The sequence below is a fragment of the Homo sapiens genome, chromosome 14 (genome assembly GCF_000001405.40).
Source record: "Homo sapiens chromosome 14, GRCh38.p14 Primary Assembly".
NCBI classification, from domain to species: domain Eukaryota; kingdom Metazoa; phylum Chordata; class Mammalia; order Primates; family Hominidae; genus Homo; species Homo sapiens.
The window spans coordinates 79,581,258-79,597,822 of record NC_000014.9 but is presented as its reverse complement, the minus strand read 5'-3'; the positions used below and the strand labels follow the sequence as shown (position 1 = coordinate 79,597,822).

At 37.1% G+C, this 16,565-nt stretch overlaps 1 protein-coding gene and 2 long non-coding RNA genes across 58 annotated transcripts in view; 2 read left to right on the top strand and 1 right to left on the bottom strand.

Moving 5' to 3' along the window:
• Nucleotides 1-102, top strand: part of NRXN3-AS3 (NRXN3 antisense RNA 3) — a 35,483-nt gene extending 35,381 nt beyond the window's left edge. Inside the window, exon 4 of the long non-coding RNA XR_001751001.3 lies at nucleotides 24-102. This is a non-coding gene — a long non-coding RNA (NRXN3 antisense RNA 3). The remainder of the gene's footprint in view (nucleotides 1-23) is intronic.
• Nucleotides 1-16,565, bottom strand: part of NRXN3 (neurexin 3) — a 1,697,919-nt gene that overhangs the window by 270,469 nt on the left and 1,410,885 nt on the right. The gene's annotated exons all lie outside the window — the stretch shown is intronic.
• On the top strand, nucleotides 93-3,144 carry LOC124903354 (uncharacterized). The gene is made up of 3 exons (XR_007064283.1): nucleotides 93-170; nucleotides 672-796; nucleotides 3,079-3,144. It is a non-coding gene; the product is annotated as an uncharacterized LOC124903354 (long non-coding RNA).

The window sequence follows — 16,565 nt, the reverse complement described above, 5'->3', positions numbered from 1 at the left end:
TTCATTTTTCCTTTTTTTCACAGATCCAAGAGACTGACTCAGGCTATGAATCAGCTACGTAAGTTCCATGAAAGGGCTATGTCTTCTAAGAAAAAGGATCACGCTGACCTCCACTTTCAACAAGTTGCCTCTAAGCATGAAGTGACCCTAAGAGATAGGAAGATAAGGAGGTAATGGGTCTGGTTGAGACCAAGCATCCAAACTAAGAAATAAAGTTTGCGTATGGTAACAACAATAATAATATTACAAATGGGACATAAGACATATCTATAAAGGGAACTAAGGTTTCACTAATAACACTGCATCTAATATTTCTGTGAATCCCAAGTGATTACTCGCATACTAAAAAGCAACCACCTAACCCTCTTTGTCTGTTTTGTAGTATAAGAAGGGATAAAGAGAGAAATTTGTCCCTGGCATTACATTTTCTTATGCAAACTAATTTAAATCACACATCTCAATGTTGAAAGCTTGTCTGACAAGCATTTCCAAAGCACAAAACAAATCTCATAACAGGTTAACTTGCACTGGGCTGATGTTGGCAAAGGACTTTTAGTACTTCTGAGAAGGCTGAAAAATAATTTTTCTGCTAGGAAAAAAAATGTACCCAAATATAATGGTGTATTAAGGGATTAGTGCTAGATTAAAGTATTCTTTCTTCTCACAACCAGGGACAATCTTTTGATCTAATCTAAGAGGTAATCTAATTTTAATGCAAGTGGAAGAACTGAAAAGCTGCACAGAGTATAAAAAGAAGGACTAAGGTAGTAGAGAAAGAGGATCTTCCCTTTGCCAGGTAGGGGATCCATCTGATAAGCTGGTATATGCCTTAGACTTACTGCTGTATGTGTCCTAATAGTTACGACTCCATAAGTCACTAAGTAAAGATACACATTTAAAACTTGGGGATTGACACAGCGGGAGCATGGCTATCTTGGACAAGCACCACCATTCTAAAGTTCCCCTTGATCAAAAACTGCCTAAATCCAAAGGGCATCAGCTTAATGGCTAACGTCAGCATGACCATAAACCACAAATAACATCCCAGTCCAGAAACATTCCAACCATAAGATAAACCCCTCCCCGACCAGAGACAGGTCAGCCCCAGGATAACTTCCCTTCCAAACAGAGACATTCCAACCCCACCATAAATTTCTCCCCCACACAGAAACATTCCAAGCCTGTGATAAAGCTCTCTCGCCCTAAAACCAATAAATACTCTTAGTCTGTAAGAGAGAGTGCTCCTGTCCAAAAATTGGCCAGAAGCCCCTCTCAGGTTTATTCTGCAAAATTAACCTGTCTTTGACTGTTGAGCCGCTTTTCGTGTTTCTTTCCTGTTTCTTTAACTCTTACAGGGATCTCTTGGTTCAGAACACATTTGAGGGCCTGTTATATACTAGGCATTATCATATTTCTTGATTCTTTTAAATTTCATTGATTTTAATATCTAAAACTTCCCTATTAGGTACCTTTTTCAGATGAAGCAAACTAAAATTTAGAAAAGTTAAGCAATTTCCCCAAGGTCATGTTAGTATATATCTGGGAGAATAACAATTTGAATTCACATCTTTCCGACTAAGCCAGGCTGAACCCTTAATGACCTTTCTCAACTATCAGCTCACCTCTCCCCATAATGCATATTTTACAGCTCAAAAAGGAGAGGAAGGAAAAACCTTTAAACCCATTGCTAGAAAGGGTGTATTACGTACAAGGCAGAATGGCAAGCACAGGAGAAATCATTAAAGAATGTCATAAAAGACCAAAAAAAAAAAAAACCCATCCCAAGATTTGTCCTCTTATATATTGGGAAAGAGACCCGTTCCCCCACGGCATGAACCATCAGGAAAACCGGCTGTCTTTAGATTTTCATAAATAAATCCTCAGCCTTGGATTGACATTTTCTTTATGAAGCCATAGAGAAATAATTGCTACATATTTCAGAATGTACTAGCTCAGCACTGTCCAAGAGAAACATAATGTGAACCACATATGCAATTACGAATTTCCAAGGATTCACATTTAAAAACTGTACAAAGAAATGTTAAATTAATTGTAATAATGTATTTTGTGTAGCCCAATATAATCAAAATATTATTTCAACATCTAATGTATATAAAAATTGTTGGAGATAATTTATATCGTGATATGAAGTTTTTACAATCTAGTATATTTTTATACTTAACAGCACACTGAAACTCAATGCTAAATTTTCAGTGCTTTAGGTGAAATATAGTTTTATTAGAACAAAAATTGTGTTTGATGAAAACTATTTTACACTGCTTGAGTTTTTAAATTTAAATGGAAATTATACTGAAATAAGAATTAAAATTATCTGCTTATTCATACTAGCCATATTTTAATTATGTAATAGCTAGTGACTACTATATTGAACAGCAGAGTTCTAGACAAAAAGAAAATATAAGATTTTCTCATGCTACATCTAAGACATTCATAGTAAGCAACTATGAAAATGAAAGCTAACTCCAGTGTACTCAAGGCAGAGAAAATGGAAGACATTTACCATAAATCTTTCATATGCCCTTTTATCTTTTGATGATTGTCCACAATATGAACAGGACAGGGCAAGTGCTGCAGGTAGGTTGTCTGTTCTTCCAATACCATTCTCATAGAACTGACTGGCTAGAGAAAGGGTGACACTGGCTAATGTGTCCCGACTCATGGAAGACCTGTTGGCCACCAATACTTTCTGCAACTGAAACATTTTTGGAAGGTAATTTTAATACTGGTCTAGAAAATCAAGCACTAATACATAACTGCCAATTTTCAGCTGAGGTATGCATGAAATAATGCCGTTTATGTAAAACCAAAAATTGATTCAAGTGTCAAACAAGTTTATACACGATTAATCTTGGAATTGCCTAACATGTGAAAAAACTAAGAAGTAAAATTATCTTGATGTCTTGGAAGAATGTATCTAGAAGTCACCATGCCTGTCTAATAAACAGGGACTTGTACCCAAAAGAAGCACCAAGGTACTTAGATGAGCTATAAAACTATACTTCATCATTTGTTATGCAAACCCCCGAGGACTGAAATCTGAATTTTTCTCCTTTTCAGCCACTGTTTCTAAGCTTATCTCCCACAGACCTTTATATATATATATTTTTTTTTGAAGACCTGGAAGAAAGGTGATTCATCTCTATGATGGGAGAATTTCTTGAAGCCACAAAGTGATGAGAAATTGATGTTCATAATATTAGTTGCCAAGAAAAGACAGGTCACCATTCTCTAAATTCTGGACTTTCTTCTTAGGCTGTAAGCCCTTGCATTAGTTTTGATCATAACTTACTTCATGGACCATCTTCATTTAAAAGTATGTAGAACCAAAAGTATATAATATTTATTTTAAAGGCTATAGTATCTCTAGTACTGTAATTCATCACCTTTTTTTCTCTGTCCCCAAATATCTGAAAGATATGACATGCTCTGATTAGTATCAGTGACTCTCTATGGCAGGATATTTTTTATCAGAGCAGGGGAAAGATGTGTAATTCTAACACACTCAGTCCCAATTATTATGATTAGCCCTCTTCTCACCTCTAGACTGAGATCCACTAAAATATCAATGCATTTATGTCCTATAATAGCTACTTTAGATATACTTAGACATTATTTCTAAAACTTTCATGCTTAGAAGGATGTTTCACTTTTCAACAAAACTGGTACGAATACAACCTAATTTACAAAACAGATAAGGCAGTAGGAGTTTTTGCATTATAAAAGAAAACTTCAAAGGATTTCTCTAAGCAATGAGTTGCCCTAAAACATTTACATGATGATTCAAGCTTTTTTTCAAAAAAAGGATTTATACATAGCACCTTATGAGGGCATCTATTATAATGTTAAGTGTATCTGAACTAGTAAAACAATTATTTGTTCTAACTGAGGTTATTACCATTTTATTATTCAGGCCAGCAGCGCTATCCCAATCACCTGTGGAGCTAAAGTGACTGAGGTAGTCATATTATATTGAATGTTAATATTTTATTTTCCAAAAAGTATAATGAGTCTGCTTAAATAAGAATCCATCAAATTGAAAATTATTATTTTTGCTACCATAAATAATTCTGGAGTGGCAGTGGATCAATCAACACTATATCTGCTGTTGCCTTTTTAGGTTCATGTGTTTGCTTGTTTTTCTCAAGGTAATTTTTTTTTTTTTTTTTTTTTTGAGACGGAGTCTCGCTCCGTAGTGCAGGCTGGAGTGCAGTGGCGCCATCTTGGCTCACTGCAAGCTCTGCCTCCCGGGTTCACGCCATTCTCCCGCCTCAGCCTCCCGAGTACCTGGGACTACAGGCGCCCGCCACCACGCCCGGCTAATTTTTTTGTATTTTTAGTAGAGACAGGGCTTCACCGTGTTAGCCAGGATGGTCTCGATCTCCTGACCTGGTGATCCGCACGCCTCGGCCTCCCAAAGTGCTGGGATTACAGGTGTGAGCCACCACACCCGGCCTTCTCAAGGTAAATTTTTAATATGCTGTTGTTTTAACATATACAAATACGTTCTAAAATACCTTTATACTCCCATTGTTTAAATTATAGAGTTTTATTTTCTTAAGGATGTGAATAATTGTAAAAATAGTGTCTTCTCATATACTGAATTGGTACTATAAGCGATCAGTAGTGAGGGGAGAGAGTTTTCTCACAGTGAACAGTTTTTTTTTCAATGATTCTCTATGAAAAGGGGCTAAGATATGAACTATCAGTCTAATAAATCTCATTGCATAAACATGAGTTTGTACTAAGACAGATGTGTAGTGTCAAATAAGTGAAATAAAAACAAGTGATTAGTATATGTTTTTACTTTTGAAATACCAGAAAGTTAAAGTACTTGATGGCTTATTTTTCAAATAAGATCCTAAGTTCCATCAGATGTCTCATTATTTTTCATCAGACCCACAGCTGGAAACTTGTAGGCTTCATATGCTACCTGGCTAGGCATTCTTCAACTTCTTGCCTCATCTCACTTTTTCCACTTAGCGAAAAACAATCATTCTTATTATTTATGGACAGAAGATAAGATCTCTGCTTGACTTATACTTTAAATTAAATAGGTCTTTTAGATTTTAGCTAAATGGCCAAGTCTCAGTCAAATTGTTTTTCTTTACTTAAGAAAGTGAAGGTCTTAGAAAATCATTTTAGTAAGTGATCTACAAAGAATATACAGGAAAAATGAAAATGGGTAACTAATTGGTTAATTGATCTTAACTATCAGTAGAAATTGATGGGCTTCATCAGTATCTAGGAGGCTGACCATTAACATATAACATTACAAAGAAAAAGTCTTTTTATTGAATGTGTAACTTAGTAGTTGTGCTGAGGCTACAATTAGGCCAATTCATTATTTTAAAAAACATTAAAACTTCAAGGTAATAATTGAAGAATGCAAAAACAGAGAAGACTGGAAATATTTTATTACAGTAGACAAAAACTATCTCAGGGCACTGAAGTACATTATTCGTCTTCATCATTCAGCAGGTAGCAAACCACAATGTCCAATTTTATAAGAAATTCTGACTTTTTCAAATCTTTGAGACTCAGTTGTAATTATATTATTAAAAAGCAATCCGCTGAGTCTCAGAAACAGTATGCTGAGTGAAAGAAGCCAGACAAGAAAAGGATACAATATATCATTTCATTTTTATAAAATTCTAGAACATGAAAAAGTAAACTATGGTGATAGAAATCAGATCAGTGGTTGCTTAGAGGAAGGGGAGAATTGGGCATGAGGTAACTTTTACAGGGTACTGAAAAGGTGAAAAAGTTCCCTGCTTTGTTATAGGGATGTGGATGGAGTCCACAATGGTATGCATTTGTCAAAACTCATTGAACAGTAGATGTAAGATTTGAGATTTTCATTGTATGTAAGTTATACCTCAATAAATAAAAGTTAAGACCAAAGCAAACCATTGCTCAATCCAAACATTAAAATGAATTTCAGTGTAAGAAATCGGGTCTATCATGAAATGACTGTGAAGCAAAAATAGTTAATTTCTACAGAAAGAAGAGGAAAAGTAAACTAGAGAATGCCTACCATGTAGAAATGGAAACCCTACTATTACTGAATCCTTAAAATATTGAGTTAGAATTTAAACACCTAGAAAGCCATATCAATAAGTGAAAATCTCTTTTGTATTCAATATATAAATTGTATTGAACTGAAAGAAACATGAAAATTACAGTTTTCTTAAACTTAGAATATAGGCTAGTTTCAATGCTCAAATTTGGACTAATAAATCATCTCTCTGAAAATCTGTGGAAGAGTTTTCTTTTTGACTTTTTCTTTGCAGATTTGTTTTAACTTAAGCTTCACTGTGTTTTCTGACAATTGTGATGCTGTGGAAAATATTGACAAATTTGTGGACCAAGATAGAAAATAACTCTTTGTACGGATATTTTAAACAATTTTTAAAATCCTAACACTGGATTGCTTATTGACAAGGATAAAATGTAGAGCCATGGCTCAGAGTGAGCTAGTGACAATCATAATTTCTAAATGTTGATTTCCTTGATGACACGGTGACTGTCAACAAAAAAGAAAAAGTGAGTTCCTTTAAATGTCATATTTTGTTACATGAATAGTATGTTTCCTATCCAGAAACATAAATAGTATATTTTTCATAAATACTTTCCATCTAAATGTTGCCCAAAGCCATTGCCATTGTGAATAAATTTATAACAAAGCTCTTGTTGGTTGACAGTACAAGAGCCCATGTTGTTAATGAAAATACTAGCTCGGTGTCCTTTGTCTTTCACGAGCTCCCACTGTATCTGTTTGCTTCATTGATATTCACAGGAAATTTGTGTTATAATGAGAGAAAAAGAAGGGGGTTTTGTTGGAGCTAAGGTTCTGAGAGACCTTAGAAAGATGGAGGGGATGGTAGGGCTTGAGAGACAGCATAGTGGCAAAAGTGCCAGAACAATTCAAATCCAATAAAAAGAAAAAAATTGAAATTTGATGCAAAAGCAGAACTTCTTAGCCCAGGTGATACTCCATAGCAAAGAGTTGAGAAAGAGTCCATCAACGCCACCTCTGTGGGAAACTCAGCATTGCTGTGACACACAGAAGACTGTAGGCTTGGGGAGAAATGCACTCCTGTACCAGGGGCATAGGTGCTGTTCATGATGGATGGTTTCCATGGTGGCCATAGGCAAGCTGATTTGAGGCCAATATTTCATGGACAACCAGGGGATGGAGAAGGAGAAAAAGACTAATTTAGATATCATGTGATGCCTAAAGATGTTTGACTAATTTGTGGGTACATGTGACATACTCTTCAACAGTGTCCCAGAAGTAACTGGCTAATGTAAAGTGTGCTTATTTTTGACAGTCAACTCAGTATTGACTAGCACTATCATAATCTTTTTTTTTTTTTTTTTTTTTTAACAAAAGAAAGAAAGGTTTAATGGACTTACAGTTCCACATCGCTGGGGAGGCCTCACAATCATGGTGGAAGGCAAGGTGGAGCAGCACATTTTACATGGATGGCAGCAGGCAAAGAGAGAGAGCTTGTGCAGGGAAACTCACATTTTTAAAACCATCAGACTTTCTGAGACTTATTCAATATTATGAGAACAGCATGGGAAAGACCTGCCCACATAATTCAATTACCTCCCACTGGGTTCCTCCCACGACATGTGGGAATTGTGGGAGTTACAATTCAAGATGAGATTTCAGTGGGGACACAGCCAAACTGTATCATTCCACCACTGGCCCTCGTTGTACAAAGTAATGGGGGAAAAAAAGAAAACATGACTTCATGTTTCACAGACTCCAATACAGCAAAAGAAAAATGGGCTTATCATGTTTTGGTGAATAAAAGCTATTACTCATGTTTCTGCCAGCCACATATCGTGTGCTACATTTTCTGTTTTGTGTCACAAATCTGTTTTCCACTCCACAGTCATTCAATAGCTTTTAGTTAATTTTTATTACAGTTTTATGCAATGGTGCTGATATTTTACAGTAAAATTTAAGTCAGCTCAATTTTAGCGTCAGAGACTCATTAAGAGTGAGCAATTTGGTGTTTAATGAGTTGTTAACCCTGAGTAAATATATTAAAATAATAGAGTGATAAATTTAAATTGAATTGCATTGGGCTTTTTTTTTGTTCAATAATGTCTTCTGCAGCAAGAGAAAATGCCACTTAAAAAGCAATTTTTGATAAAATATATTCTAAATTGCTTACATCCACTTCTCTTTTACTATCTATCTCTTCCTTATTTGATTCCTTTTTTTTTTTTTTTTTTTAGGTATTCTACTCCTTATTCTCTCTTAAGTGTTCATTATTCTGAATATTTCTAACTTTATTTCTAAAAGAAACAATATTGTGGGCCCCAAACAACTGGAAAAAAAAATGGAATAAGCCTTGGATAAAAATAACAATTTCCTGGGATAACATGACAATTTTGAAAGCTATTACTAAGTACAGAAATTAAAATCTCAGTACAAAAAAAAATAGAGTAAATGAATAAGGGCTAGTATCTGATAGCACAATGGGTGGCTCTAGTCAATAATGATTTAACAATTTTTTGTTTGCTTGTTTCGAGACAGAGTTTTGCTCTGTCACCCAGGCTGGGGTGCAGGGGCATGATCACAGCTCACTGTAGCCTCAACCTCCCAGGCTCAAGCAATCCTCCTACGTCAGCCTCCCGAATAGCTAGGACTGCAGGCACATGTCAGCATGCCTGGCTAATTTTTATATTTTTTGTAGAGATTGGGTTTCGCCATGTTGCCCAGGCTAGTCTCGAATTCCTGGGCTCAAGGGATCCTCCTGCCTTGCCCTCCCAAAGTGCTGAGATTACAAGCATAAGTCACTGTGTCCAGCCTCAATAGAATTTTTAAATAACTAAAAGGGTATAATTGGATTGTTTGTTAGCACAAAGAATAAATGCTTGAGGGGATGGATACCCTATCTATCTTCCATGATGTGATTAGTATGCATTGCTTGCCTATACCAAAACATCTCATGTACCCCACAAATATTTACACCTACTGTGTATCCACAAAAATTAAAAAACAGACATGAAAACTCAAAGCATATTTGCTTTGGACGAGTTCATGGACAGGCAAAAGTAGATCCAGAGTCTTCTCTCTCAGTTCATTTGTTACCCACTTAAGCCATGGTCAATATGATGCTCCTTAATCAACATCTCAGCTCCCTGTGGTCTTCTGAATCAGGGCTGTCAACTTTACTGACACAAATAAAATTCTATTACTGTAAGTCCCACAGAGCCTCAAGAACAATTGAAGAGCAAGACAGAATTTAATCTGCCTAACAGCTCATCAACAAAAGCTGTCAGTTTAGTTCAAATAGCAGCCTTTTTTTCCCTCCTGATTAAAAACTAACAGGATATAGCTGGGTGTTAAGTTCACAAGCGGAGTTTGAGGTACTACTGACATGAAAAACTATCCTTTGACTAAAAAATGATGAAGCAGATTTGAGTTGGGACCAGTTATGCATAAACAAAAGTGCAATTCTAAAACACCCACATTATAGTCATTTATATGACCATAACAATATTTTGATCTACGAAGCTATGGTAGTCAGATAGACCACAGGTTATATAACAGTTCAGCATTAGAGAGACATTGTGCCCACATAAAGTGAAAATGAGACTGGCACATTACATACTGACTCCTTCAAGCTACTTATGGGTGAGAGCCACTTCTATAATAGAATTGGCAAAATGTAAAAATTGCTCAGAATTGACACCTTGACACATGACATTTTCCTGAAATGAATCTGAAATAGCCTATAATCATATTTGAGAATGACTAAGAGGTGACTATAAGTCACCTAGCTACATATATCTTCTAAGAACTTACTCAAAGAGAAACTGGAATTCAAGGGACAACTAACAATATGTGTAATAAGTCAAATGCAAATATAATTTAGGGAATTTGAACTCAGATCACCTCTTAAAGTGAGTGTCATATCTACAAATGAAAACAGATGAATATTTAAAATTGAAGACCGTTTCCATTCAAATTCTAGATCCCACTATGGACAGTCTACTGATTTCTGCTCACCAAGATTTGCTGGTGTTTGGAAAGGCAGTACACTTGCATGTACATAAGTATTGATCATATGTATTTGTGATACGTCTTAATCCAGAAATTGGGTATTTACACACACAGCATTTCTACCTTGGCTTTTCTATTTATACATATAGATTTCTCTCTCCTCCCTCTTTCTTGCTCTCTCTCTGGCTTTTGTTCTGAAATCTATACACACCAGTTGAATGCATATTTGAAAGAGTAAAAATTTACATATTTGTCTTAAGTATATTTGCCATCTAACTTTAACACATTGCTCGCCTGATGTTTAAGCCAGACAATTAAGAGAGGTGTTGACAGCCCTTGAAGGAAGCGTCCAGCAGAGGCAAATCATGGCAGTCATCCAAGGGCTTCCTTGACGGAAATGTGTGGTGAAAACGACAAAGATCTCACAGTGCAAGCTGAAATAAAATCTTTCCAAGAAGAAGCCAAAGGAAACTATATTTATAGTGGCAAAATTATCTTACAAAACGGTTTATTCTGCTTTGGTTTTTAAAAAGAGCAGTGACTTCAGTTTGTGTAACACATTTTATTCAGAAGAAACTAAAGCATTCTATATGCAGTTTAACTGATTTTACTGCCAACGAAATGCTGCCATATTCTGTAGTGAGGATAGCTTTAAAAATGGCTCCCCGTGAAAGTCTGGCACAACCATTCTGAGAGGAATATGTAGAAAAGGCTCAACCATGGTGAGAAGGGAATAGCACTAAAATGGTCATCAGTGGGATCAAAGCCATTGACAAGAGTAGGAGCTCTCAGTTACCAGCAGATTCACTTGAGTCAGGAGATGATAATGAATTAATAGCCTATTATAGCCTGTAACTACTATTATTAGGCTAATAATGTGAAGAACTAGTATATGCCAGTTAATCATGCAAAGAAAATAGAAGAATGAATATGAATAGCTACTACTGGTGTAAAGAAAGTAGGAATGAATGAAATTGTCACAAAAATCTTGGATTAAAAAGAATTTCAATAATACCCTCTCTCAAAAAACAAGAAATGGCTGTGTCAAAGTGGCTCTTAAATGTTCACAGAATTTCAAGAGCCATGAAAGTAGAATTTGTTGGCACTGCACCCTCAACCTACAATCAAGATGTGCTTTAGGGCCTGGCGCGGTGGCTCACGCCTGTGATCCCAGCACTTTGGGTGGCTGAGGCGGGTGTAGTTAATGTTTCACTACACCCGCCAGGCCAAATCAGACTCCACTGGAAAAGGCAACTGAATGACTATACCATACTTTTTCAGGGTTAATTTCTAATAAACTTCACACCCAACATCTGACCATATTCAACATTCTACAATGAGCATTTCAAAAACCAAACAAAATGAAAATAAAGAAAACAAAAACAAAAAACCAAACCTGTTACTTAAAAGAATAAAGTTTCAGATACATTTTTCTATTTTACATTCTTTGCTTTCTGATTTCATCTAACATTCTGATAAAATAAAACTCCGCAAGATGATTACATATAAAAAGTGTGAGCTTTACTTAATTCTTTTACTTTGCCATTTTCAAGTTATAATACATTTGTTCAAACAAATAATATAAAATACCACATGCCCTGGCTGGCAGTGTACTTTAATTTGGAATCCTAATTATGATTGACTCTGTTACAAAGAATGCCAAGTATTTGGCATATGCATCTCCCAGGGCCTGGGGAAAAGAAAACTGAAAAGTCAATTTTTCTGTTGCTATGATTAGATAAGCAGAGAGGCAGACAGTTGTGCTTATTTGAGGGAGCACCATATGCTACGCCACAAACTTGGCGTTCGTATGCTGTAAAGCCAATGTGTGTGCACAGGTAAGACATAGGGAAATCAGTGGTGTGGGCATGGTAATTAATAAGTCAGCAGCAATTTGCTGTTCATCCATACCTCATCGTTAAGAGGCTACTACTGAAAAGGAATGTGAATGCTCTCCACCATATCCAGGTTGTGTTATCAAGTGTCTCCCAAAAACTTAAACAAACATTATACCCCCATTCGGTCCCTATCTAGAGTTAGAGTTATATTTTATTTATCAAAGTTGGTTTTTTTTTTTTTTGTTTTTTTTTTAAGATGGAGTCTCGCTCTGTCGCCAGGCTGGAGTGCAGTGGCACAATCTCCGCTCACTGCAACCTCCGCCTCCCGGGTTCAGGCGATTCTCCTGCCTCAGCGTCCTGAGTAGCTGGGACTACAGGCACACACCACCACACCCAGCTAATTTTTGTATTTTTAGTAGAGATGGGGTTTCACCATGTTGGCCAGGATGGTCTCAATCTCTTGACCTAGTGATCTGCCTGCCCTGGCCTCCCAAAGTGCTGGGTTTACAGGTATGAGCCACCGTGCCCAGCCTCTTTATCAAAGTTTTCAGAGATTTCACCTTTATCTTCTCAGGCTATGCCTCTATCCTTCCAAACAAGTGGCATGTCCTTCCAGTTACTATATTGGGCATGATTACTCCCTCAGAAGTCTGGCAGGCCAGGTGAAGACAAAGATCTTTCTGGTTATGAGTCTACTAAACTTCTTTCCTTTGACCAAACTCATCCAGATGTTGTGGGCATAAAATCACTTTGACTAAAATTAACCCAACATCTTTGGGCAGCTCCTAATATAAAATAGATCATTTGTCATGCCATACTAAGATGACAAATGCAACACATTTATTAAAACTTGAACGGCCCATCTCCATAGAGGGCTATGCCTGCCCTCTAGTCTCTAGCACTCAAAAGTTAGTCCTAATTAGAACAGAAAGGACATTGGTTGCTGTGCTTGTTTTTATTCTCAAATGTTTATAGAATATCCCAGCTACATGATGACTTCAGCTATGACTCAAAATCTTTCCCACTTTTGTTTGGGAGGCCACATGTTCATTAATCGAATAGAGGCTTCATATTCTCTCTCTCCTGCTGATTCATGCTTTTGCTGAATTCCTTAGCTCATGCAGGGAGTTCATGGCTCCCTCTGCTGTGCACAATCTCAGTGAGGACCCTGCTCTTACAAGTGCTATAGGCTCTTCTATTGTCACTCCAAGCCAGCCAGTCACCTTCAGGTGGTCAGCTGAGCCCGCAGAGCACTAAAGCTGTACCCATAGCAGTAGCTGGGTTGTGGGAGAAATAATCTATTCTCCGAATCTGTATAAAACACTGTTATCTAGGTCTCAAGGTTACAGTGCGTGTGTCCCAAGTCCCATAAGGTTCTAAGTCAAATTGCTGCCATCAACTTCCGCCTGCATTCTCTAACCTTTCTCCATATTCATCCCAGCTCTCCCCCATCCCTAATCACCTATGTCATTTCTTCCCTCTAATCCTCCAGCTAAGGAACAAAAGCTCACATGCCTATGGACTCATGCAAATAAACACCCATCTGTGAAGAGTAGGGTATTCTGTGTTTCACTAGATTCATAGAACCAATCTCTGGGATACTCTTAGAACATTTCATCGAGTTTGGGATTGACATAATATCCTTTCCTCAAATGCATTTCTTTCTGCTCACCCCCTGGACATGGTTTTATTCAACATACATTTCTGCTTGGCTGAATCCACTAAAAGATTATGGGGCCTGGGGGCTAGGAGTAGTAGTTAAGCTCTGCATACCACATACCATTTGTCACCCTGACCAAAGTAGATACATAAATACATAAAATGTCCAGGAGAAAAAATTATCCTAGTAATAGCCAGAAATTCAACTTTAAAATCTATTTTCCCAAGCAATTGATTGCAAGTCTATGATGACTTCATGGAACTGGCATAGACATCGCCTAGAGTATGTTTGTTTGTTTTTATTCTCAAGTGTAGATGGAACTTCTCAGCTACATGACTTCAGATATTACTCAAAATCTTTCTCACTTTTATCTGGGAGGCTACGTGTTCAGTTTCCAAATAGAGGCTTCATATTCTCTCTCTCCTGTTGATTCATCCTTTTGCTGAATTCCTTAGCTTATGTGGAGAGTTCATCGTTCCCTCTATTTTGCACAATCTCAGTATTCCAAAGATGTAATCAGCTTAATCCTCTCATATAGCAGTCATTATCACTGCAAGAGGGGCTGCCTTTCTCCAAACATAAACAGTTTTTAATAATTTTAGAGGAATTGCTTACAGTGACTGCATGGTCATTTTCTGGAGTGGCTTGAGTATAATCTTAAGTTCATAGAAAAGAAGGGAACAGTGATTCATTCCCATGGACGTTGCTATGCATGTAGGGGCTTCCTTCTTCCTCCACCAACAAAAGCACACTTCTTACCTTAATAATAAAAATAATTGAAAAATATGAATTTATTAAAAAAGAGAAGATCGTGCTCACAACAAATATAAAAAAAAAGTATAGAAGAAAATGAGATGAAAATCACTAAAGGAGCTTACTTCTGCAAAAAGGGGGCAAGTGTGTTTCTTTTCTTAGCAATGTTAAGACACTAGAAGCTACATAGCTGCTTTATACCCAGGCAGTGTCTTAAGGGCTTTACTTAGATCCTCCCAACAAATCCCCACAACCTTGTGAGGTAGGTACTGTAATTATCTCTATTTTAAGATGAGAAACCCGAGGCTCAGAGAAGCATCTGTCTCACGCTTTCCACATCTATCCACAGAGCCCTCTTTTTAGCCACCTGGGAATTTAGAGAAAAATTATTCCCTCTAGATGTATTGTACTGAAATCAGTGTCACACTTTAGACTGTTTTTGTGTTTTACTTTTTTGTGTGTTTTAGATTTTTATGTAGTAAAATATAATGAAGAGGCAAAAACATTCTATAAATGCTGTGTATTTGCTTTTAAACAGCATTTGCTATTGAACTGAAGGAAAGATACCTAAGACTAACTTGTCAGGACGTTTACTATCAGTTTTCGAGAAAGGCAAGTACCAGTAATAAAACAGTTTTATTTCTCAGGTTTCCAGGAGGTGCCCTGAAGAGATTATAATGAAGTTTTGCTGAATCATTACACTCATCTGTGTTATACATAATGTTGTTATGTATTTATTCCTTCATTCTTTCACTTATTTCTTCATTCCTTTAGTTAACAAGTGCTAATATTAATTTGTAAAGATCAAATCCAGTGGGGACTCATGCATGTAATCCCAGCACTTTGGGAGGCTGAGGCGGGCAGATCACGAGATCAAGAGATCAAGACCATCCTGGCCAACATGGTGAAACCCCATCTCTACTAGAAAAAAAAAAAATTGCTGGGCGTGGTGGCACATGCCTGTAGTCCCAGCTACTCGGGAGGCTGAGGTAGGAGAATCACTTCAACCCAGGAGGCAGAGATTGCAGTGAGCTGAGATCACACCACTGCATTCCAGCCTAGTGACAGAGCAAGACTCCGTCTCAAAAAAATAATAATTATAAAAGCAACTGCAAGCTATAAACAAAACCAAACAAAAAACATAGGATATAGTCAGAAGTTGAGAATTTTTAAATCTGGATCTAAAAGTTACCAGCTGAGTGATTTGATGCAAATTATTTAACCCTTGTGAGCTCCTATTACCTTACATGTGAAACTATGGATAATATTATACCTCCTCAGCTGGGCATGGTTGCTCATGCCTGTAATCCCAGCACTTTGGGAGGCCAAGACAAGGGAGGACTGCTTGAACTCAGGAATTTGAGACCAGTCTGTGCAACATAGCAAGACTTTGTCTCTACTTAAAAAACAAACAAACAAACAAACAAAAACAGCTGGGCATCGTGGTGGCAGGTGCCTATAGTCCTAGCTACTGGGAAGGCTGAGGCAGGTGAATCACGAGCCTGGGAGGCCAAGGCTGATTGAGCTGTGATTGTGCCACCACATTGTAGCCTGAGTAACAGAGTAAAACCCTGTTCCCCAAAAATAAAAATAAAAAAATTACTTCCTGAGAGGGGTGCTTTGGGGATCAGATGAGACCATTTGAGAGAAATCTTTCAGATGCTCCAAAAATATAATACAGGTTTATGTTACTTATATTTCTATTAGATAACAATTCTAAAAGAGTTTACAATGTGTTGGTGAGAAACAAAACGACCACGTAAACGATCACATACACAAAGAAAACTAACCATCCAGTTAGTACTAAATGAAAAGCTCAGTCATTAGCGTTTTCAGAATTTAAAGTAAGGGGAAAATAATTACCAACTGGGAGAAATATAATTTGACTTGAGCTTTGAGATCAATTAAGATAAGTAGGAGAAGAAGGATGATATATCAAAGAAACAAAGACATGAACAAATCCAATGGGGCATTGACGAAAACACCCCATGAGCTTAAGCAATGCCTGCAAACCCCTTTGACTAGAACCCTTTTGAAAGAAGGAGTACTGGAGGGAGCTGGAGTTGATGTGTTGGTTGGAAGTTCATGAGTTGTTATAAACACAGGTTAAGAACTTGGGAAATTTAAAACAGGTAACCAAGAAATGCTGAAGGCTGTTGAATACTGGGGATGGATCAGAGATGTAAGGTAGATGAGTGGCAGCTTGTAGAGCAGAGGCTGGAGGTGGAGATGAGTGTTGAGAGAAGCAGTAAGGAAGCTTATCCCA